Source organism: Homo sapiens, chromosome 1 (genome assembly GCF_000001405.40).
Source record: "Homo sapiens chromosome 1, GRCh38.p14 Primary Assembly".
Lineage (NCBI taxonomy): Eukaryota > Metazoa > Chordata > Mammalia > Primates > Hominidae > Homo > Homo sapiens.
The window spans coordinates 89,704,699-89,730,157 of record NC_000001.11 but is presented as its reverse complement, the minus strand read 5'-3'; the positions used below and the strand labels follow the sequence as shown (position 1 = coordinate 89,730,157).

The following is a 25,459-nucleotide window of genomic DNA, read 5'->3' as shown; positions in this document are numbered from 1 at the left end:
TATATAATTCTTAGAGGAAAAATTCTAAAATACTGATATATATAAAGAATAAAAGAGAGTGCACTTATACTCCCACCACTGAATGACAATCTCTGTTTGCATTTGGATGTATATCTTCTTCCATTTTTTTTTTTTTTTTTTTTTTTTGAGACAGAGTCTCACTCTGTTGCCCAGGCTGGAGTGCAGTGGTGTGATCTTGGCCCACTGCAATCTCTGCCTCCCGGGTTCAAGTGATTCTCCTGCCTCAGCCTCCTGAGTAGCTGAGAGAACAGGTGTGCACCACCACGCCCAGCTACTTTTTGTATTTTTAGTAGAGATGGGGTTTCATCATGTTGGCCAGGATGGTCTCAATCTCTTCACCACAGGTGACCCGCCTGCCTCAGCCTCCCAAAGTACTGGGATTACAGGTGTGAGCCACAGTTCCTGGCCCCAATTTTTAAATATATATATATTCTTTCTTGCATAAGTGAGATCACACTGTGCTTAATTTTAAAAATTTACTTTTTTCAATTAACACATAATGAATTACACGTCAATAAATGTATTTGTAACATTATTTTAAATGTCTACCTAGTGCTTTATTGTAAAAATGTATCATTCTCATTTTTGGAAGCTTAGATTGTTTTCATTTCTCCCACCCATCATGTTGGTGATGTGATGGTTCTCCCTCTGCCTAAGTGTTTTCCAGGGATCTGCCAATCTGACTCTATTCCCTTCCAAGGGAGAAACAAGGAATGACCTCCTTTGGGGCCTTAGCGGGTGTCAGGGAAAAGTGATTATAAGCCTGCTTAGACCAACCCAGGAAGAAACCAGCCATATTAATGGGTTCAGAGTGTTATTCTGAGTTCAGTGGGCAAGGGTTAGTGGATTCTCCAAAAAAGCTTACCTGCTAATGCTTTTTTGGGAGGCGCCACGGCAGGGTTGCAAAAATAAGAGAAAAGGAAAATCCAGGCTGGGAGGAAGGAAAGTGAATATTCATTAATGAGTTGGTCACAGCTTCATGACAAAACAGCCTGTTGCTTGGTGGTATGAGACATCCCTGGCAGGACAAACCAAACCACTCAGCCTAGGAATCACCCACAGGAGGAAGGGAGGGCGTAGAATTTATTGGCAGTCCCCTCAGGGTCTTTTTTTTTTTTCTCTATTTGGTCAAATTTCACCCTACGGGCATAAACTGCCTCTCACTTTCAGGTTGTGTCACCTGGTCCCTCTGAAGAGCCACTGTAGGGGCCAGTCTCATATTCCAAACTGCGCTGCTTCCTCTGTAACGGAAAGTGGTGGGAAGAGTCAGAGTCTCCCAGGGTGTGGTCAGGGAAGCGTGGGTGCCAGAGATGCTGTGGCTCCCTGCTATGGCAGAGAGGGTCCTGCCAGAGGCTGAGGCAGGGGTTGCAAAATAATTAAGCAATGGCACCATCAGAGGAGAAGTGTGCTCTCTAGCGTTTCAACCTGTGGTCTTCCCATTAGCATCAAAGCCCTTGGTTGGGAGAACCAAGGCATTCTGCAGAGTGCTGTCCAGAAGAAACACTAAGACCCGTGCTACCCAGGAGGGTAGGGCAGGAACACAGCATTAGAAAGAATGGGAAAATGAAACTAAGTTCTGTGGGCAGGAAAGCTCCACCTTTCCTCTGGAGACAGAAAAAGAGCAAGAGTCCTAATGGGGACACTTGGCTAACCAAGCTACGTCTTCCACTGTGTCTCTCGCCCTGAGTTATCCAGCCCACAGGGCTCCAAGCAGGCAGATTGGACTTACCTGGGGAGCAGGCTTGAAGGAGGATAAGCAGATACAAACTTTTGCACATCCTCATATACCCTGAGAATGGCACCTCACAGATGAGCACACCGGTACGATAAGGGGCAGAGGGAGGAAGAGAGCTTTGCACTGAGAATGGCGCTCAGAGTTCAGGTAAACTGGGTGGTTTCCTTTTGACTTTGTAGACATGAAACAGGGCAAATTCCCGTTAATCGGCTGGAAAACAGCAGCAAAGCGAAGGAAGAAACCGGGGTGTGAAATAAGGAGGAAGAGGCAGGGACAAAGGACAATGGGCCTGCTGGGTAGTTTTCCTGAGGTCTAGTGATGCCAAGAACAAGCTGAAGTAACACATTAATGTTTATGAGTCTCATGCACCATGAAATTTGATTGGGGCATTGTTAATCTGCCGACTCTTGGCTTCTCTCTGTAGCCTTTGGATTTCTAAAAAACGAGATGGTAGTTTCTTTCTTTTTACAAGAATTTGAACACAGGGAGGAGGCTCCAGACAGACTGTAAGATTATCCTGCCTTTGAATTTAACTGAGGATGGGCTTAAACACCTTCCCCAGTTTCCCACTGCTGGAGGATAAAATAAAGAGGTCTCTGGCATGGGTGGAATACACAGGGCACCCTCAAGCTGATCCTCACATCTTTCCATCTTTACCTCTCATCCATTCCAATGGCCGTGACCCTTCCCTGGCACCAAGCCCTCCAAATGACATCACGTGATCTCTCAGGCCTCTGTCCCCACCCTAAAAGCTCTTTCCCTGACGTCCTCTCATTTCTCTTCTGGGGATCACCTGCATCAAGACTCAGTTCAGGTTCATCTCCTGAAATCTTTCCCATGGCCAGGTGACTCTGGCCCACTTTCCCCGCTGCTCCTAGTGTGAACAGACTTCTGGGTTAGCTCTTACAACACATTGTAGCTATCTGAATGCATGGAGGCCTTTTCCTATTAGATTATGGACTTTTTGAGAACAAGGATCACAGTATTGATTTTTGGTCCTTAAGTATCTAGAACAGTATGTGCTACCTGGAAGGTGCCCAGAAAATGCTGGTTGGTTGAAAAAGCAGTTGTGTTGCCAGAGGACTTCACTTACACACTCACTGCATCACTTATCCTGCTGCCCAGTGGTAGCTGTTTAGCTGTGACTCTTCCATGATGCTCTAGCTCCTTAAGGACAAAGATACAAACTTGCTGCCCTTACAACAATGTCTAGCACATTCTGGGTGTTAAAAAATGTTGACTTTAGGAAAATGTGCAGTATTGTAGATAATTTTTATATTATCCAGAGCCAGAGTTCAGTCTATAGTCATCATGAGACTAGCAAGTTTTCTGAGTACAAGCATTGAGCTAGGCACATCACATACCTCAGGCCACTGATCCTCGCAGGAACTTTTAAAGTGGGTTTCCATTTTACAGATGAGGAGGATGTAGCTCAAGGAGCTAACTGATTTGCTCCAAAACACACATGCAGAAAGCGGCAGAGATGGGATGTAAACTCTGGACCAAATGTGTAATGGCCATGCATTACATCAGGGCCTCCCAGGCTCAGATTCTCTGATGCAGCCAAAGTTTTGGCTGTAGCCCTTAGTGCCTATAATGCCAGCTACCTGTCAACATCTGAACTTCAGAGAAAAGGGAACAAACCGTCTTCCCCAACTCCACTCAGTTCTTCTCCCAGCCCACCTAACTGCTCCATGATATAGCTAATTAGGCACTTGGCTGAGGGTGGGACCAGCATCAAGACATTTTACTACTTTCTGGGAAGGGTCAATACTTGGATATCTTCAATATAAACAGAGGCTGGAGAGTTTAAATAAACTTGCTCAAAGTCATGCATCAGGTAAATGGATAGTAAGAATTGGAACTCCTTTTGGACTCCAGGACTTGTGCTGGAAATGCAGGTCAAGCCTATCTTGTGGTCCACCTCGAAAGTCAGGGTAAGGCCCACAGACAATATCAAGAAGACACTGGGAAGGTTTTTGAGCAGAGGAGCAATAAGGTCAGAGTTACAGCTGGGAACACTAGTCTAATGGTGGAGAAGAGGAGAGAGTCTAGTGTGGAAGCGGGAGTGGCTGATGACGAGATTATTTAGGAGGCAGTTGCAAATACGAGAGTTGTGCCTAGAACAGGTTTACTTCTAAACACATGAAGCTGGAGATGACAGGCAGGAGGAAATGTCCATAAGGCAGTTGGAGGTGGGAGGTGGAAAAGAGATGCTAACCAGAACTAGAAATCTGGGAGTTGCCAAAAAAGGCTGCTGACATAGCCCTGAAGGTAAATGAGGCCACCAAGTGCTGGGGTAAGGACAAAGGGGTACAAAAGGCTGAGGAGTAAGCTTGAAGATTTGGCTTATGCAGAGGGCAGAAGAGGAGGGCTGTGAAAGACAGGAAAGAGGCAGAGGTCAAGCAACGACTTGTATCAGGCTGATCAAACAACTGGACAGCAGACACCAGAATCCCTCCTACATGATGGAAGTGTGTAGAGAAATACATGGGTAAGCCGCTAGGAGGGCCAAGGGTGGGAGTGAGGAGGTGGAGAGTGGGAGACCAGGAAACAAGAGAGAAAGTGAGAGGGCCCTCTGCCAGAAGTGAGGAACCTGAGACGGGTGTTGTGAAGCAGAGAAAAAGACGGAAGGGCTGGGAGGGGGAAGATGGGGATGGCTTTCACAAACATGGGGTTTTAGAGTAGCTTGCACTGCTCTCATGAATGCTCTGCTGTCTCTCCAAACCTTCAATAAAGTTTCTAAAATGCACAAAAACCTAGTGTGAGTGCTGGGGGAGATCCAGGAAGAGGGCAGTGGTTTACTGAAGAACAGGGATCAAACTCTAGAATGGAGATCTAACCTAAGCAATGGTGAGCTGATGAATGGAAGATGTTCCATAGAGACTGAGGCTCAGAGTCAGTGGCCTGAAAATGTAAACACATTGGAAACTTATGAAACCTTAGGGAGGGCAGTGGACTTGGGGGTATAGCCAATTTCATCTAAATCTTAGGGGACATACAGACTCCAGTTCGACATCTGCACTGCAACCTTATCATGGACGATCATAACTATTGAATATTCTTTCTGAACAAGCAAAATGTGTTGGTGGATTTTACAAGATTAAACATGAGTGACGCAAGCCCTCAATGATTTGGTTTGGAGATTTAGTAGGCTGGAGGGAGAACGCAGATCTTAATACAGCATTACATAGACACAGTTTACATCAGCCATTATAGGGCAGGCTGCCCAGCAGCGAGTCATTAGTTTAAATTGTCTGCTGAAGAACATCTCTGGGACTTTTCTGGTCCCTTTGCTCATGAGTAATTCTTTCCTAGAAAACTTTTTCCAACCCCTAAATGTTCCTCCTGATCTAGAAGAATGATGTGACCCAACTGAGAAGGCTGCCACAAAGCAAGGAGGCAAGAGACCTGCCCTCACTGCCTGTCCTGCAGTCACTGGGAGGGTTTGTAACCTTCACTAGGGTCAGGCTGGGGAGGGCAGGAAGCTAGAGCCCTGAGCACACTTCTGTGCTGGGATAAAAATGGAAGCTCAGGGGCTTGGCTAAGGCCCCACCCCTGGTCTCTCCACATTTTCACCACAGAGACTGATGAGACATTTCCTCTTATTCATTTGTGTAAGTCATAGACAAGAGGTGTGTGTACACACCCGTCTCTGAGCATTTAGGAAATTTTGGCTTACACTAGGAGAAGTAAGAGCGTTAACCAAAATTTGTAAAAGTGCCTCATTGAAATCCTGTCAAAAAGATAATGATTTTAAAGAGGGAATAAAATGAAATGATGGCTTTCTTGCAGCTATTCATAATACGCATTCTGCCAGGTTCCCCCTGCTTGCCCAAAGAAAAGGAGAAATGAAAACACTAGGTTTGTAAATTTTCTGCTTTTCTACAATAATTACTGGATATGCTGAAAGATTGTATGAAATTCATGAGTGTTTCTTGGCCTCTATGCATCCTATATTTCCTATCTATAAATGTTAGCAAACATTAAAGAGTTAGAGGTCCTTACATGTAAAACATTTAGAAGTGCTGCTCCATGGTTGAAGAATTTGGTGTGAGATTGTGTGACAGATTGTATTTTTCATAGATGGCTACAACAATAACTCCTGTTCCACATATTCTTAAGATGTGACACTGGCACTTCTCCCACTGAAACGTGGGTTCTGTGTCTTCTCTGCCGCTGCTCCGAAACGGGGCAAGATTTATGACTGTTTTAACTAATAAGAGCATGGCAGAAGTGAGGAATGTGACTTTCGAGGACAGGCCATGAAAGATGATGCAGCATCCTTTTTGTCTTTTGGAATACTTGTTTTGGACCCTAAGCTATTGTGTAAGATGCCTGACTACCCTGCAGCTGTCATGCTGGGAGGAAGCCCAGGCTGCATGGAAAGGTTTGCTATGGCTGATAGCCCCAGCTGAGGTTCCTGCCAACAGCTAGAATCAAACACCAGACATGGGAGTGAAGACGCCTCCAGATGATTGTAGCTCCTAGCCATTAAGTCTTGCCAACTGAGGTCCCACACATCATGGAGCATAAGTAAGAGGTCTTTGCTGTGCCAGATTCCTTACCTACAGAATCTGAGTGTTATAATGTAGTTGCTTTACACCGCTAAGTTTTGGGCTGGTTTGTTACATGGAAATATTAATTGCAACAGATATAAAACCAGGAGCCCTGTTCACTCCCTGAGTTCTTCTAAGATACTTTGTTGGAGAGTTATAGATTCTTGGAACACTATTTGAAAACCTCTGGACTAACTACTCTTCAATGGCTCCAAAATCTCTGCTTGTAATAAAACTAGAATTTAAGAGCTTCATCAGGAAAGAGAAGAATCTCGCGTAGTGTTATGGATTGAATTCTGTCCCCCTAAAAGATGTTGAAGCCCTACTTCTCAGGACCTGTGAATATGACCTTATTTGGAAACATGGTCTTTGCAGATTATCAAGTTAAGATGAAGTCATTAGGGTGTATGACTATGTTCTTATAAAAAGGGGACATTTTGACACAGAGATAGATACACATGGGGAGAATGCCACATGAAGATAAAGGCAGAGATGGAGGTAATGCATCTACAAGTCAAGGATCATCAATGATTGCCAGCAAACTACCAAAAATGAGGAGAGAGGGACGGAACAAACTCTCCCTTACAGTCCTTGGAAGGAACCAACCCTGCTGCAAACATCGTGCTTTAGAACTGAGACAATAAATCTGTTTAAGCCACCCAGTTTGTGGTACTTTGTCATGGTAGCCCTAAGAAACTCTTGCACCTAGGAGTGAATTTGAACAGAGATGATGGTCCCTCATGTTCTAAGTCCCTCAGTTAATGGAGTTAGGCCTTTTGATTGATTCAGTGTTTTTTTTAGAGCCAACTGGGTACAAGTCACAAGGGTAAGCACCACAGAGAAATACAGAGATAAACAAGTCTTGGTTTCTGCACTCACTGGGCCTCCAACTTTGGAAAGAAAGATATGATAAGTCCTAAAACAACCATAATCCAAGTGGTAAGTGTCCTAAATAATGAGGCAGGTAGAAAGTGTTAAGAGAAAGTCTAAATAAGTCTTGAAAACTCTTTAAAAAGTCTCATGGATTTTAATACATGCAGGGCCCTAGATTGGATTTGGATGGACGGACTGACAACAGAAAGGGCATTTCTATGAATATCCCAATACTCTGTGTGCCCCGTCTGATCAAAGTACATAAATAGAGTAAGTATAACTCCTTTATTATTGAGCCTACTTAAAGCATTTGTAGAATCCTGGATAAATTTTTGTATAATTTTTTTCCTCCCTGTATATATAAGAAAAAAAATGATTCTAAACATTTGAAAACAACCCAGAATGCAACTTTTGTCTTACAGTTGTTTACCATAGTGTAGTGCTGTGCTATTAAGAATATCCACGCAGGATATAGTTTGGCAGGTGGGGAGATGGGGAGGGGGATGGAGAATGTCATTATCAGTTTTTCCCATAAGATTTTGAAGTTAACTTCCTGGCATTTTTGATGCAAGTTCTTGATCAGATTTATAACTGAAGCACTTAATAGTCACTAGCAGTTTCTGAGTTAGGGAACGTTACCTGAAAATAATTACCTAGCTGGTTTGCAGTACTTCAGATTTGATTATTATTATTATTATTATTATTATTATTATTTTTTTTTTTTTGAGACGGAGTCTCGCTCTGTCGCCCAGGCTGGAGTGCAGTGGCGGGATCTCGGCTCACTGCAAGCTCCGCCTCCCGGGTTCACCCCATTCTCCGCCTCAGCCTCCCAAGTAGCTGGGACTACAGGCGCCCGCCACTACGCCTGGCTAATTTTTTGTGTTTTTTAGTAGAGACGGGGTTTCACCATTTTAGCCGGGATGGTCTCGATCTCCTGACCTCGTGATCCGCCCGCCTCGGCCTCCCAAAGTGCTGGGATTACAGGCGTGAGCCACCGCGCCCGGCCCAGATTTGATTATTTTAAAGCTGGTAGAATTTGAAGGGCAACAAATCATTCTGAATTTTAGAAAGTGTGTTAAGCACCCCTTATCAGGAGTCTGCTTTCTAAGCTCCATTCTCCCCTTGCCCCCCAACAAATGACAGCCTTATTTAATATAAACCAGGTGTTTAATCTGACATTCTTTGTATTTCCCATTTGACATGAAATCAGTTTCTTTGAGAGGTTACGTGGACTTAAGAAAATATTTACGTAGCTAAATGTTTAGATTGGAATCTCTAGTTTTTAGTTTTACAAGTATGAATTTATTTTAAATACTTCATCACTTAAGGCTGTCAACATCCTGTCTTTGTTTCTAAATGCATAAAACTACTAAATCTGTTAGCATGCTGATATTGTTAAGGCTCAAAGTGTGATTACCAGGGAAGTCTATGAGTCACACCACCAGAGGCTAGAACCTGGGGGAGAGTTCAGAAAAAATAGTCTTCTAATTTTGAACAAATTGACTTCCTGTTGGTAAGGCTCACAGAAACGCCCTGCACCCATTGAATAAAACTTGGTTTTCATTTTGATATCATTGTTGTACATGGCCTTTTAGAATTTTGTTAAGAGTGGCAACTTTGACAACCTAGTTTTCACAAAGAAATTTAAATTACTAAGATATAATTTATCCATACAGCTCAATAGACATGAATAGAACTCATTTCATAAGCTTGTGGACATTTATTGCTCAAATGCATAGGGAGTACATCTTTACATTTTTGCATTGGTTTTCATTATTCTTGGACTAAATCATCCTAAGAAAGATTTTTAAGCTGTCTGAATATTAGAGTATGATTTTAACAAAACTGTCACACATAGTCTATGTTAAATTACAATGAAATCCCAAGAACCTTCCCAATTCAAAGTGAAGAAATGCTATATATTTTTTTTGCCATATCAGCATCACTTCTGGGGAGTTGATTTTTTTTTTTTTAATTAGAAGAACTGTGGAGGAGATAAAAAATGTAAAACTTAGAGGTTGCCTCTTTTGTGTCACTTTTCCTGAGATGTCTTTTACCTGAGGCTAATAAGGATTGAACCAAGCAGTATTTTTTTAATGGCAAAAGTCCAGATGTAACTCGAGTTGAAATAAAATTAATTCTGTAAAGGATTAAAAAATAAGGAGAAAGCCCATTTTCTACTTCTCAAACTTTATAACAGAAAAATCCCTGGATTAAAATAATTGGAATGGCCAATTTGGTTTAGATGTTTGATATCATTGCCTACCCTGTATCTTTTATGCAAAATATTCAAACTCTGGGAATATTCTATCACTTATGATATGCCTGATCATATAACTATTTTAATAATTTGTCCCTAAATATGTTCAAATATGTTTAAATGTGAAACCTACAGTATAGTCTGCATTCAAACATCTATGCTCACACAAAATTATGTAGCTAATGAACAGCTTTCACTTTTTTCCTACTTGCAAATTTAGGATGACATTCAAACTTACATTCAGAAATATGTGGGCCTTGTGCTCTGACCGTGTAAATACTCCACTGAGTCTCAAATGAACTTTAATAACTTCCTTTTTATGCATTTACTTCTTCACCCAAACGAAAAGCTTATGTTGCTAGCCAATAATAACCAATTTAAAATTTTTCAGAGTTTATCTCAATACTCTGTGTAAGTGAAAGGACTAGAAGATGGGACAGTGGAGAATGGCAGTGGGCAGTTTTTTCTGTACGTGCAGATTGCACTGAAATCGCCAGATGTCTCTAATCTATTGCATTCCCTAGCTCCTTTCCAGAATTTCTCCAGAGCTCTCACATGATCTCTTCTAATTTGTGCTACTCACACTTACACAGCCTCTCCCATCACACTCACCACCCTTCCTTATCTCAACAATCCTTCTCCAGAGGGCTGATGATCAGTAAAATAAACACTATTATTAATAAAAATGTGTAAAGGGACTATTTAACTTTGAAAATTACCCATCATTTCTTATGCGTAAGTGGTCATAAAGTTTCCTTGTAGAGGGCTTCCCTAAGCCTGGAGTGAATGTGGTTAATTAGAGGAGGCCTCCTAGCTGTGCAGGATCATGCTGATTCCTTTAAGTAACCACAGTCATTACTATAAGACTATTTACTGAAAGCTGAGCTGGACAGCCATTGTACAATCTCATCTGGCAAACGTACAGAAATTGCACTCCAGATTACATATGAAGGCACTAATTACCCAAATGAAACTCCAGGGGCACCTTAGGTAGATACAGTAGAGTGAATTAAGGAAGGAAATAATTAGTCACAATTACAGAAACTAGCTCAACACAAAGTGAAAGAATGCATGCAGCTTATTTCCTGCAGAGAAAAGGGAGCTTTAGTAATAGTTTAAGAAATGCAAACGATAAACATGATTTCTAAAAATGAGTAAGAGAGGGACAAATATCTATTTTAAGTTATAAAAATGACTTTATTTTTCTGTTTCTATGTACTACATATCCAAATAACATTAAGACATTTTATCATGAATTTGCACTATGACAAATCAACTTTCAAGCATTTTCTTGACAGTTTTAGAGGTTTTGCCAGCTTTTGACATACATACAGACAGAGTAAACAAGGGGAAAAAAGAAAACTTAGTGAGCACGTAAGTCATGGAGTTTGAGCTCCAATAAAAATATTCATTAAAGAGGAAGAATAAGGTGGGGGGTGGAGAGAGGTATTCTGAAGAAAGAAACAAATTTACCTCACATTAAAAACCATGCATAGGAACTGTTATCAAACACAGCCAAGAAATTAAGTTTTCCAAATTTATATACCCCCCTTTCAAGGTATTCTGATAAAAAAATTCCTTTGGGCAGGGGGAGATCCTCCTCCACCTTTCAAAAATGAACTTAAGGATGCTACCTTTATCGGTGAGTGACTTTGGGAAGATGGAATGAGTGGATGCTTAGTTTGGATGGCTGGCAGGAAACTTTCAGGAGCATGTCACTGAGGCCTAAATCTTATAAAATCATGGCAGGTCTGGTGAAGACTGTCCAAGGTTTCTTGCAATGTTTCTAAGTAGAAAGAAAAGATGAGAAAATTTTCTTGATCTTTTAAGCAGTCTGCTAAGAACCAAGCTGTTTAACTAATTTGTTTTGCTAACTTGAGGTTAGTATGGAATGCTATCCTGAGTTACTAAGAGCTTAATAAAATTTGACTGTTTGAATCACATTATCACATTCAGAATTCATAGGATAATGTTAATTGAATCTTAATTTAGTCTCTAAAAACAAAGTGGAATTATATTCAAATTGACTTTATCTGTTCACTACTAAGTATGCTGACACTTTTCATAATGATGGATTAGGAATCTTTGCTGCTTAAATATATCATTTCTATTGATCAGGTATTTGGTATGAAATTAGATTAGAGGTAAAAGAAACTACTTAAAGAATGAACTTTTCTTATAATAGAAAATAAATAACAGCACAACCCTTCTTGGGGGAAGTGTTAATAAGAGATATAAAGATTTTGTTTTTTCTTTTTTAATATCAGAAATCCTGAAATAGCATACTGTAAGAATTTGGACTTCACTTAACCCAAGTAAATACAAGGAAGATTTTTGTCTAAGACCCTCTCCACAAAGACAACTTGAGAGCCAGGTAAATGGCTACATCTGAACAAAATATTCATAGCAGGTATGTTTTCCAGGTCTTTCTGAAAAAGCAGTACCTACTGCATACGATGCAATGTAAATTGTTGAAACTCCTTGAAACAGATGGGAAATACAATGGCAGGGGAAGGGGTGGGTGAAGAATAACTTACACTTGAAATAAGAGATTTCACTGTATCAAGAATCTTTATATTAAAAGAGCTGCATTAAAAACAAAAGCAAATCAAACCCAACACATAATGAGAAAATGCAATAATTTCTGAGGTGTGGTCTTCTTTGGTGAGTTCCACTGGGATATATTTATATGCTCTCTTTCAACCAGGCCATCACCAAACAATTGTTTGTTCTGTACTTAACAATTAAAACTGACAAAAAGACTTTTTCATCATGAGCTTCAAGCAGCCATAGGAGTTAAGAACACATATGGTGCTTTTATATTTACACAAGCAATCTCTCATGAGTCCTATAGAGATTGGGGAAATAGAGCTATAATAGTTATTCCTTTTTAGAAAGAGCACTTGTAAAATACGGAAAGTGGTTAGATAAATATCCCTCTATACAGAATTGATCAGTTAAAGAACTTTAGAAAAGTCAGCAGTTCATTACCTGAGTTTCCCAGTTAAGGGCTAACTAGTAATTAAATGTTTTTTTTACTTAAGAAAGTGAACAAAAACTTACAATATTAAAAGGGGCCAGTGTCAGAAAATTTAGACTCAAAATTAAGTTTCAGACTTTTGAAGGTTTATAAAATCTAATAGGAATATCTATGAATTTTCCTTCTTAGTTAAAACATGAAGTCACAGAACTATACTGACTTACCAGATGTTATCAAAACTTAGGTTGGGGGTCAGCCTGCAAAATCACTAAAAAACAAATCAATATTTTTTTGGAATTTTGAGCAAATTTTTACAAGTGATAAAAATGAATTATTAGTGACCTCGGTTATGAACCCATATGAGATTTTTAGTTAACACCAGATAAAGACTTCAGCATAAGCGTGATTTTTAACCTGAAGAGATCCCTTTTGAAGGGTAATATAGAAAATAACTATAAATTTTATCCAGAAAAATAGTGCACCCAGTGTTTTGCCAGCAGTTACCTAAGCTTGCCTTTCGACGAGGTATTTTTGTCATGCTCAACCATGGACAATCGGCCAACAAATTATTTGTTTAAAACAGATAGGGCTATGTTTCTAAATACAACACATTATTCAAACTCAGGATTCCAACACTATTCTGAAATTGAATACTTTATCATACAAGAACTATAACCATGTTATTATTCTGAGCACATTATTTCAATTCCAGGTCTAAATTAATCAGCAAAATCACCATTCTAAAACATTAACATAGAGCAGAAACGTAAAGCACTTTGGTCTGTATAATTAGATTATTAAACAAATCGAAAGAATCTCTTTCCCTAATGCTTCACCTCATGATGTAAAGTTGAAAACACAACTTAGGAACACATTTCTGAGGAGCAATTCCCAACATTTGTTTCTGTATACAACTCAAAGCAGCACTGAGTAAATTCACCCAAAGAACAATTTTAAAAAACAACATTTTGAAAACCCAAAGCATCTTTCTACTTTCTTTCATTGTTAAGTCACAAAACTTACTACGATCAGTCTAGAGCTCAGAAAATGGTCAATGTGAATTTGGTACATAAAACAAAGTTCTCATAATTAGTGGTTCTGGTTCTAGGTCAAGGGCACAAATAGTGTATTTCATTTTCCTGTTCTACATGCTTAATAGTCAGTGAAATATTTTGCCCAAGAGCCCATGCTATGTTGGATTTTAATTACAAAGGTAAATAAAAGCTCTGCTGATGGTCAGGCAAAAATTATTGCTAAGCAACAACCACTTAGCAATTTATTCACACTTTAACGAACAATTTTAGATGAGATACATATTTTAAGCCAGAGAGCAGATGGATTTCCCGTGCTTGTAGCACTAGTTCACAGCAAGGGCAGGCTTGAGGGAAATCGATTAATATCCAGTCATCCCTCGGTATCATGGGGAATTGATTCCAGGATGCCCTCGAACACCAAAATCTGAGGATGTTCAAAATCCTTGACATAAAATGGTGCAGAAATTGCATATAACCTATGCACATCCTCCCATATACTTTAAATCATCTCTAGGTAATTTATAATACCTAAAACAATGTAAATCCTATTTAAATAGTTGTTACGCTGTATTGTTTAGGGAATAATGACAAGGAAAAAGTCTGTACATATTCAGTACAGACACAACTTTCTTTTTGAGTATTTTCCATCTACAGTTGGTGGAATCCACAGATGCAGAACCCACAAGTACGGAAGGCTGACTGTATATATAAGTGGATTATTTTGTGTAACAGGCAAAATTTGAATAGATTACCACTGCCACACTGTGCTGAGAAAAGGAGAGGGCCTCACTGGAGCACACCAGCTCTTTAACAGGGTGCTTTAGTAAATTTTTTTCCATCTGATGCAGCTGCATATCAAGATATGAAAGATGATTAAATTACTCAAAAACCAGGCTTCTATCATTTTAAAATTTAATTATCTATTAGAATATTAAAATAAATCTAGGTTCTCCAAAGTTGTTCACCAGTACTACATAGCAGTATTGAGATTAAGGTGGGAGGAGCCTCTGTATTTAGGTTTTAAATATTTTTAAAATGTTGGTAAAATGCAAATAAGTTAAATGATAAAGGCCTAATTCAAACATACCAGCCACTAAAGATTATTTTCTTCACTCACAAAAACCTTGCCTAAGGATAACAATAACTGTCAGGTATATGAAATAACACAGTTTAGGGTTTTGTTGGAGGCAGGGGAACATTTAAAATACTCTATGACAATGCACTTATGTGAAGTTCCACTGAATGAAGGTCTTGGCCAATGGAGAAGACAGCTGGTATTAAAATAACTAGCACAGATTCCTTGATACACACACAATGAAAACAAAAATAAGAACCCTGTACAGGTGTAAACAAGTTAAAAATGGCCTTGGCAAAATATCTTCCTCTATTTAAAAAATGCCAAAAAGCATGCAACTTATAATTCCCTCCTTTCCACAAGAATGAACTAAAAAACAAAAACAAAAAACCAAATGGAACTATCTCTTTCTGTCAGTAGATAATAGATACATTGTGTTTCAAGACAAATAAAACTTCAAAATATTAATATTGAAAAAATACAATTAAATTTTTATTAAAAATACATACTCCTTACGCGATCTTTGTGTACATTTTGTGTGAAAAGGAAAAAAAAATAGGAAAGGCATTAAGACTACCTAATTATTTATACTGTATTTGGTAGAAGCGTGTTTCAGTCAAACTTTAACGAAAAATAAGTTATTCTGTTTTCATTTGCTCCCGGACGTCAGAAGGCAGAGTTTCAAACAGAGCATCTTCTACAACTAAACCAGCTCGCTTCAGAGCCCGACAGTCACCCAGTTCAGGAGGGAGGATTTCAAAGTGATTACCTTTTACATCTAAGTAGGAAAGAAATAGCAAATTTCCAATTTTCGGTGAAAGTACAGATAGGCTGTTTTTTCCAATCTTCAGAGTTTTAAGTTTCTTGCAGAAGTAGAGTTCATCTGGAAGGCTTTCCACTTTGTTACATGTGATGGAAAAATACTGTAAACTTTGTAGAACTCCAATTTCAGGGGGGATAAATCGAATGTCATTGTACGATAAGTCCAAGTATCGGATCTTGTTGCATAGGAAGAGGTGGGAAGGCAGCACCTCTATTTTATTGTGACTAAAGGACAGGCGTTCCAGGCTGGTGAGTTTCTTTATATGCTCTGGGATGTAGGTGATGCTGTTATGCCACAGTTTTAGCACTGTCAACTTTCTTAAGTGCTGAAAGCTAACGATTTCTTCTATAGATTTCAGATTGTTTTCCTTCAGGTCCAATTCCTGGAGGCTGAGTAGGCTGAACACAGCATGAGGAATACGCTCCAGGTCACAGTGGACCAGCTCCAGCTCTGTCAGATTGGTCATCTTCTTTAAGTTGTTGAGCATCACCAGCTTGGTGCCATCATTATGTATGCACATCTTCTGGAGATGGCTGGAAACATCAACCACTGCCTGAGGGATTTTGGAAACGTTGCTTTTGATAGAGAGAATTTTAAGGCTTTTGAGATCCCGCAGAGACTCAAGGGTGACATTTCTGGAAATATCATGACTTAGAGAGCCAACTAGGTACAGCTCTTCCAGATTTCGGAGCCCATACATCCAGGGGGGGAGTTCCCTCATGTCATCAAACTTGACGCTCAAGACCTTGAGGTTTTCCTTCAGGAAAGAGAGCGCCGCACTGTGGATTTTGACAGAACACTGGTGCAGAGAGAGCTCTTGAAGATTGTCTAGCTGTGCAATGGTGGCTGGTATCATTACGTTCTTAATGATTTCAAGTTTTAGAGATTGCAACTCTGTGATTTCAAAAACAGTGTCTGGAAGGCCAGAGAGCATGATAAGAGGCAATTCCAGTCGATTATGGGCATTTGTCTGTAGCTTCTGCCTCAGTTTATCAGGAGTCCATTCGTTATTTAAGTTCAGCTGCTTTAATTTGTTTTCACTGACTTCAGACAGGAACACTGCAAATCTCTTGGAATAGAGAGGGTCATACTGATCTATCATATGAAGCATAAAAGCAAAGTCATTTTTCACATCTGGAATATCATCAATTCCAGTCTCCTGACGGACATACTCAAAGGAATATTCCCGTAGAGAACGGTAGAACAGCCAGTATAAGGTATAAAGGCACGTCAATCCATAGATACTAACAAAGCACAGATAGCAAAAGGACAGTTTTGAGAACAAGTGTGCCATGGTATGATTGCAAGAAAAGTTTTTATATCCAGTCATGTCCTGAATGTCCACATTACAGTCCACTGTAAACTGGACCTTGGAAACCAGAGCACTATTATATGCAATGATGATTAGGAATTTGATAACTTTAAGTACAGTCTGGCGAACATACATGGCATATAGAATATCACCTTCTTCCACATGCAGCCTGAACTTCTTCACCTTCTCAAATAAGGCCTTAGCCTGCTCACCTTCCTTTTTATCCAGAGCCCCTGCAGTGGATTTATCAACTACAAACTTCTCAGGAATGGACTTTAAAGACTGAGAGTTGACCAGGCTGTCTTCTGGACCAGATTGGATGGTGTTGGACCTGTTCATGTTGTTCTTCCTGTTGTCCTTTTCTTCTGAGTCCTCCCCAGACACTTCAGATAAAGCCCGTGTGGTCCAAGGAGAGTCAAAACACTTCCCCAGAATGGAGATGAAATGTTCTATTTTGGAGCTGGAACCAGGGAATTTGAACCAAAAGTTACTGCAGAGCATAAAGACCAGGGTATGGATGAGGACAAGGTAAGGGAAATACTTGGCATACCAGTGGAGGGCTCGCTCATAACACATCTGATTTATAAAGCTGTACTGCTGAAGGTCCAAATCTGTCTTCAGGCCTTTCATTTCCACAGTGATGGGGTTAGCAGGAGATGGTTTAGGTGGAGGCAGTGGAGTGGTACTGGCAACTGCTTGAGAGACATTCGAAAGGGAAGAGTGGTTCTGAGCAGGCTGCACTCTTTTCGGAAGGCAGATTATCTTGTCTTGCATGACCTGAAACATGGAAATAATATTTTCAAATTATATTACTCAAAGAGCTTTCATAATGTCATTACTGCAAAGAAAGCAGCAGTAACATCCAATAAATGTCCATTTCCTCTGCCTGGAGAATACAACGTTCAATTCCAGCATCAAGATTTTATTCTTAGCTCATATATTGGAAAAATGAAATATCTGACTTTGTTCATCATGTCTAAGTTATGACATAAAACAGTGTTTTTTCAGGTCATAGAACAACTCACAAGAAAATAAATATTTAGGGAACATTCATGTATTTTTAAAAAATTAGCAGCCAGGCGCAGTGGCTCACAACTGTAATCCAAGCACTTTGGGAGGCCAAGCCGGGTGGATCACCTGAGGTCAGGAGTTTGAAACCAGCCTGGCCAACATGGCGAAACCCTGTCTCTACTAAAAATACGAAAATTAGCTGGGCATGGTGGTAGGCACCTGTAATTCCAGGTACTTGGGAGGTTGAGGCAGGAGAATTGCTTGAACCCAGGAGGTGGAGGTTGCAGTGAGCCGAGATCGTGCCATTGCACTCCAACATGGGCGACAAGAACAAAATTTTGTCTCAAAAAAAAAATTATCAATTCTCTCACTGGATTCTGGGAGAATCAGTCATCAGTCTGGGAAGTATATCATCTTCTCAGACTCAATCTTGAGTTAGATGTCCTCAAAGATTGTATCAGTCTGTGTATGAGAAGCAGAAAGATAAGAAGGAGGAACTATGAAAGGAATTCCTGTCTTGTTTTCCCCTTCTTTTTCTACACATATTCTAGACTGTATGTATAGATCAATATGAATGAATTTAATGGAAATTTTGCTAAGCTTTTATAAAAACTCTTCCTTCAGAGAGAGATAAAAAAATACAGAAGTGTTCAACAGTAAAATAATTGTTTAGATTTGCTAGCGTTACACACAAAATATTACATTGAGAACCACCATCCTTCCACCAACGTTTCAGTTTGTTGAAAAGAATATTAAGCTGTAAGAATGTCCAGCAGACTCAAAAAATTGCAATTTGGGAAAGAGAGAATGAATGCACCCTTTTTGAAGATAAGGTAGGATGTGACAGAATACACATTGAATAAACCTAGACGAATCATCTTCAGGAGGAGGCCTATGTTAGTAGAACTCTATGAACAAAAAGTTGACATTTCAAAGGAAGAATAACCAAAGAGTATTCAGCAATGACATGTGGAATTAATAACGCAGGGAAAGTCTATTTGTACCTTAAAATGTCAAATGGCTGAAAATCCACAATGTTTAGTGATTCTGCACCAGCAGTGGTTAGTGATTTTGCAACATCAAAGTCCTTTACCTTGATTATAGGCATAGAAACTGAACCCGTTGTAAAGTGGTCTGCTATAGCATAGTAAGGTGACCACGAGCTGGTGACAAGGGAACTAGCAGCCTACCATATAGAAGCATGAGGCTGATGACAGAGTGAAGCACCCAACACTTAGTAAAGTGTCTGGTACATGGAAGACCACCAGTGTATATTTTCTGAGAAAGGGAGTGAATCCAAAATTGCCAATAGTCCTTCTAGTTCAGGGTTGTATCAGTCTGGGTGTGCAGGACACCTCTTCTAGGGATGAAGATGAAGATGGTGATTATAGTGATGACAGCAGCAAACTTCTGTTATGCTTAATATGCAGCTGACCGTCTTTTCATAAAGTCATGGGCATTAATTCTATTAATTGCCATCTTAATCGGATGACATCAAGTACTCTTATTATTTCCATTTTATAGATGAGGAGACTGAGGCATGGACTCAGGTAAATAACTTGCCTAATGTCATCTAGCTCAGAATCACCTAGACCCAGAGCCCATATTCGTATTTTCCTGAATGTCTAGGATTAAGCCAGAGGGATCCCAATTTGACTTTATCTTAACAAATTATTTTGCACAAACAAGTCACATTTTACAGAAAAGGCTTACTGCTTGCCATGTCCTATGCAGATAACAAGAAATGAGGCTGCGGGAAGAGAGGAGGTTTCACCACAAGATTTATAAAGTTCTGTCTTGGGAAGATAAAGCAGGGGGGCAACTATTTACTATTTAAATCAAAAGAATGCAGGTAAGAACAACAAATGTGATTGCATTTAGAGGATTTGGTGGCTACTGAGATGTGAGAATTCAGCAGTGGTCTTCAAACATTTCTATTACTTAGAGGAAAATGTTGAGTATGCCTACCCACTATATTTATGTCTTCCTATAGGTACTGCATATCCACATCAATCAATATGTCAAATAATCAAAAAGCTAACTTATTTCATGTTTAAAATAAATATAAAGAAAAGTTTTCACTTTTATTTCACATCTCAATGGAGCATTCATCATATTTCTCGGGATTCAAGCACCATACTTTGGAAACCCCTGGAATAAAAAACAAACAAAACCACCAGGAGAAAGCCTAGACAAATACTAGACTATCTTGAAGAAACATAAAAGAGAAGGGCTTGGGATCATGTTCCAGATGCTTTCCTGTTCATGATCTCATTTAATGCTCCAACAACTTGGGAAGTAGGCAGAGGGAGGGGGCCAGAGATCAGCAGGGAAAAGGAATGTGCTTCCTTGAGCACATTCTTCAAGACTGACACCCTTGAACTATTGTTAATACGATATTGTTAATGATATGATGAAAATACAGGCTGGGTGCCGTGACTCACGCCTGTAATCCCAGCATTTTGGGAGGCCAAGGCGGGTGGATCACGAGGTCAGGAGATCCAGACCACCTTGGCTAACACGGTGAAACCCCGTCTCTACTGAAAACACAAAAAATTAGCCGGGCGCGGTGGCGGGCGCCTGTAGTCCCAACTACTGGGGAGGCTGAGGCAGGAAAATGGCGTGAACCCGGGAGGCGGAGCTTGCAGTGAGCCGAGATCGCGCCACTGCACTCCAGCCTGGGCGACAGAGCGAGACTCCGTCTCAAACAAAAAAAAAACAAACAAAAAAAAACCACACACAAAAAACAAAACAAAACAAAAAAACACAGAGGAATCAGGTAAAAGCAAGATTAAATAGAAGGTAAAAAGGGAGGCATCTTCTTAAGGTGCTAAGTCCCTGCAAAGCAACCAAGTGGGCCCCATTTCTGTACCCCTGCCTGAACCCTCCCCCGGGCTTGCTCCTAATGAAAGAAGACGGTGGACTTAAGGAACTTGGCTGCTGTACAGGATTTTAGGTTATGCACTGTACCAGGGTGCCCAGGTGAAGGGCAAGTGTAGGCTGAAATCTAGCTTGTGTACCTCTCACTCAGCTGTGTGCACTTGGGGTTATGTCCACACAGTGCAACTGCGTTTTTATATTTTGCACAAAAATGTCTAATTAGCTGGAATCTGCCATGCTGGAGAAGTAGGTCACATTCTCTCCGTTCTACAGAAGAAGAAACTGACCAAGGTTCAGAAAACTTCAGTGACCTGCACAAGTTCACGCAGCTAGGAAATGGCAGAACAGGAATTTAAACCTGTCTTTTCTTTCCAGCCTAGTGTTCTTCCACCACTCCCCACATTCTTCTCATTTCACCTAGCTTCCGCTAGGATGGCTTTGTAGAGAACAGCCCAGCGTAGGAGGCTTATGCCACAGGCAATCTCCAGAAGTTCTGTTCACTCTTTTGACTTCATATTTCCCTTTCATTCCTTCATGAAGATATTTTTTGAAGTGTGCCTACTCAAATCTCAGGAGAATAAAGACAGTAATCTATTTTCCAAAAGCTGTTAATCACCCAGAAACGAGCGCTGAGTAGAAAAAAAAATACTGGAATCTAGTTACTAAGAACAGTAGCATCTCATGTTGCTGAGGGAACACATCACAAGAAGACTCCTGCAGAGAGGCATCTCTGAGTAGAATTCCAAAAGAATGTGAGGGCTGGCTGTCAAATCCAGGACTACAAAAATAAATAGCCAGGTTAGGAGGTCCAACAGTAAACAGTATGAAGATTTAAACAGTGCAATAGCTATAAGAGAGAGGAAGTTACCCTCCATGTTAAATAGAGACTGTATTTCTGAACACTGCAATGTGGGGAAGAACTGGGAAAAGGATCAGTATTTTCAAAGAGAAAAATAAGAAAAAAAATAAGGCAGGCAGCTTCTTCTTCTTTGTCTTCTTCTTCGTCATCTTCTTCTTCTTCTTCAAAAGGTTAAACAGTGTTTTTGCCATATCTTTGTAACAGCAGCCTGTGAGAATTAGGAAATTTTTGTTTTATCTGTCCTATCCTTTTGAGAAGTCTGCCTAATCAGACCTATACTTCACGTTTCTTTTTCTTTACCCAGTAATGTAAAGATCAGGGTGCAAAACAAGCCTTAAAGAAAGGCTGCAAAACAAATCTCAAAAGAATAGTTGTAGGGTTCCAGGCTGTTGGTACAGGACTAAGACAGAGTGCTTGGAGTAGGGGCAGGGAGAAAGTGCCCAACCGCATCCCCTTCTACAAAGCCTTGAGGTTCAGTGCATCACCAGCAGCTCATCCACACACATTATCACATGGAGCAATTCCGCCATTTTCTTTCAAGGACAACTCTCAGCTGCCTTTGGAGGAAAAAGGCTTGAGAATGGAGTTACGTGGTGCCTTTATGTAGGAAGAGGGAGAGAAAAAGGGGGAAGAAACTGGGGGGAGAAGTGAAGAAAAAAATCAAAATGAACAAGAGAACCTCATCCAAAATGCATAAAAGTGAGAAAAGTTAATATTCTAAAAGCTGCTATAAGAATTCTCAGAATTCTTAGAATGAAATCATTTATGGAAAGGAAAATGTCTAAGTGAAGGAGGAGGAGAGGGACACAGAAGAATGAGACACTGAGAGCAAGGGTCAGATTAAGCCAAGGTACAAAGAGACAGCTAAACTGCCTACTTTACATTGGAGTGAACAGGCTTGGAAGTAGGAGGAGGTGAATCAGGAGAGCACGGACAGGTTAGAAGGGAAGAAGAAAATTAGGTCAAGCCATACAGCAGGTGGCTGGAGTATATGCTCATTATTTCTATTTTGAGATAGAAATACCTTTCAATCTTTCTCAAATCTTTAGTAAAATCTGCTACACACACACACACACACACACACTCACACACACACACACCAGCCACACCTTTTATGAATGCATTTTGTAGAAATCACAGCAAATTTCATGCTGGGATCAAAGCTGTACAGAGTTTACCTGGGCTAGGTAAAAATCTGTAATCTAAAGATTTCCATGGAAGCAGAAACTGGGACCATGGGAACCTAATCCTTCCAGGAACCTGCTGGGGGCATTAGACTGGGGTGTGACCCAATATCCTCTGGATCTGTTTTTTTGTTTTTGTTTTTTTTAGATGGAGTCTTGCTCTGTTGTCCAGGCTGGAGTGCAGTGGCGCAATCTCAGCTCACTGCAACCTCCGCCTCCCGGGTTCAAGTGATTCTTCTGCCTCAGCCTCCCAAGTAGCTGGGACTACAGGTGTGTGCCACCACACCCGACTAATTTTTGTATTTTTAGTAGAGATGCGGTTTCACTATATTGGCCAGGCTGGTCTTGAACTCCTGACCTCAAGTGATCCACCCGCCTCGGCCTCCCAAAGTGCTGGGATTACAGGCATGAGCCACAGCGCCTGGCCTATCCTCTGGATCTTTAGGAACGACTGACATCCAGGAGTATAAAATACTCCTCAAGGCTTCCCAATTAAAGTCCTTGGAGAAAAAAATGTACACATAAACTTGTTCCACAACTGTGATAATATCTATGCAGTACTTATGGAAAAGAAACCCAAGGGTTGCAATAATTGGTTAAATGGATTCACTAAAATTTGGATTCTTCAATTCTGATCTGCAAATCATCATGTTGAGAAAACACAACAGCTATTTTTGAAAAGATAAAAGAGGATCTTGAAGATCCTTCCTCAATTCTAAGGTCAATGAAATAAGCTGAATTTCTTGCTTTTGCTTTCTATGGGGGAGGGGAAGGGTTTCAAGGGAAGCATAGGCCAAAATTCAAGCTTCCTTAAAAAAGAAACAACCCATCCAAACCTGCCTGAAAATGCTGTTCGAATCTAGGAAGAGAAATCAAATGTTTTAAATGGTAACAATCAGATTTAGAGATGCACTGTAAGTGGAGTATGTGCATGCTCTATTGCATACTGAAATACCTTGAATGGTCAACGTGAAATTCGGGCCTTTTAATAGAAATTTTCACTATTTTAAGTCATAATATTTATGGCTACATTTTTGTATGATGTATGTTATTTAAGTCTTAGTCCTTTGTTAGAATCATTAAGACACATCAGGATGACACTTATTTAGGCAGTTGCCAGAAAAGTATGGAAGTGAAAAAGCAGAACCCACCTGTGATAACTAGTTGAAAAGGTACCACATTTGCATGAATGAGACACCAAAGGGCTGAGGTTAAAACAAAATAAAACCACTTAGCTTCAGAGAAACTGCCTGAAATAACAAAGAACATATAAACGAAGGCAGCTTATCTATTACATGCCAGACATGTAGAACATAAATGCTGAATTCTGAGTGTGCCTCAGGAAAAGTCATTCTGCAGTAGTATCTACTATATGTCAGTTGTTATATTTGGGATACCAACAAGAACAAAAAGCCCTTCAAAGTCAAGCACAGGAATGAGACATATAAATCAGTAATTAGTGTGATAAGTGCTCAAATTTGTGCTTGTCTTTCACGATAAACTTTATCATCAGATTACGTAGATACAGGAAAAACAACCCTAGTAGTATTTTTATTGGGATCACTTTATAAGTTAAGAACTGACATGATGTTGATTCTTCCTCCTTATGGTGTGTGTTTTCACTTGTTTGCATCTAATTTTGTGCCTTTCAAGAGTGTTTTACAGTTTTCTCACATAGATTTTGTGCATTATTAAGTTATGTCTGTCTATGTATTTTATTTTTTTGCTACCATAAATCTGTCTTTTAAAAAAACCATTTATTTATTTATTTTTGAGACAGGGTCTTGCTCTGTTGCCAGGCTGGGGTGCAGTGGCGTGATCTTGGCTCACTGCAACCTCCACCTCCCGGGTTAAAGAATTTTCCAGCCTCAGCCTCCTGAGTGGCTGGGACCACGGGCCTGCACCACCATGCCTGGCTAATTTTTGTATTTTTTTGTAGAGATGGGGTTTTACCATGTTGCCCAGGCTGGTCTCGAACTCCTGTGCTCAAAACGATCCACCCACCTCAGTCTCCCAAAGTGCTGGGATTACAGGCATGAGCCACTGCACCCGGCCAAAACATTTATTTATTTATTTTATTTTATTTTATTTTATTTTTGGTTAATCCCTAAATTTCTTTATTATTATTATTATACTTTAAGTTTTAGGGTACATGTGCACAATGTGCAGGTTAGTTACATATGTATACATGTGCCATGCTGGTGCGCTGCACCCACTAACTCGTCATCTAGTATTAGGTATATCTCTCAATGCTATCCCTCCCCCCTCCCCCCACCCCACAACAGTCCCCAGAGTGTGATGTTCCCCTTCCTGTGTCCATGTGTTCTCACTGTTCAATTCCCACCTATGAGTGAGAATATGCGGTGTTTGGTTTTTTGTTCTTGTGATAGTTTACTGAGAATGATGATTTCCAATTTCATCCATGTCCCTATAAAGGACATGAACTCATCATTTTTCATGGCTGCATAGTATTCCATGGTGTATATGTGCCACATTTTCTTAATCCAGTCTATCATTGTTGGACATTTGGGTTGGTTCCAAGTCTTTGCTATTGTGAATAGTGCCACAATAAACATACGTGTGCATGTGTCTTTATAGCAGCATGATTTATAGTCCTTTGGGTATATACCCAGTAATGGGATGGTTGGGTCAAATGGTATTTCTAGTTCTAGATCCCTGAGGAATCGCCACACTGACTTCCACAATGGTTGAACTAGTTTACAGTCCCACCAATAGCATAAAAGTGTTCCTGTTTCTCCACATCCTCTCCAGTACCTGTTGTTTCCTGACTTTTTAATGATCGCCATTCTAACTGGTGTGAGATGGTATCTCATTGTGGTTTTGATTTGCATT

At 40.1% G+C, this 25,459-nt stretch overlaps 1 protein-coding gene across 6 annotated transcripts in view; it reads right to left on the bottom strand.

Annotated features, from left to right (window-relative positions):
• Positions 1 to 10,624: 10,624 nt before the first annotated feature.
• Positions 10,625 to 25,459, bottom strand: part of LRRC8C (leucine rich repeat containing 8 VRAC subunit C) — a 103,710-nt gene continuing 88,875 nt past the window's right edge. For 5 of the 6 annotated variants that reach the window (XM_011542282.3, NM_032270.5, XM_047432040.1 and 2 more), the window contains one exon: positions 10,625 to 17,449. In XM_011542282.3, coding sequence (XP_011540584.1) covers positions 15,176 to 17,449 — 2,274 coding nt within the window. In that variant the 3' untranslated portion in view covers positions 10,625 to 15,175. The remainder of the gene's footprint in view (positions 17,450 to 25,459) is intronic. The other variant, XM_011542283.3, reaches the window with a different exon arrangement.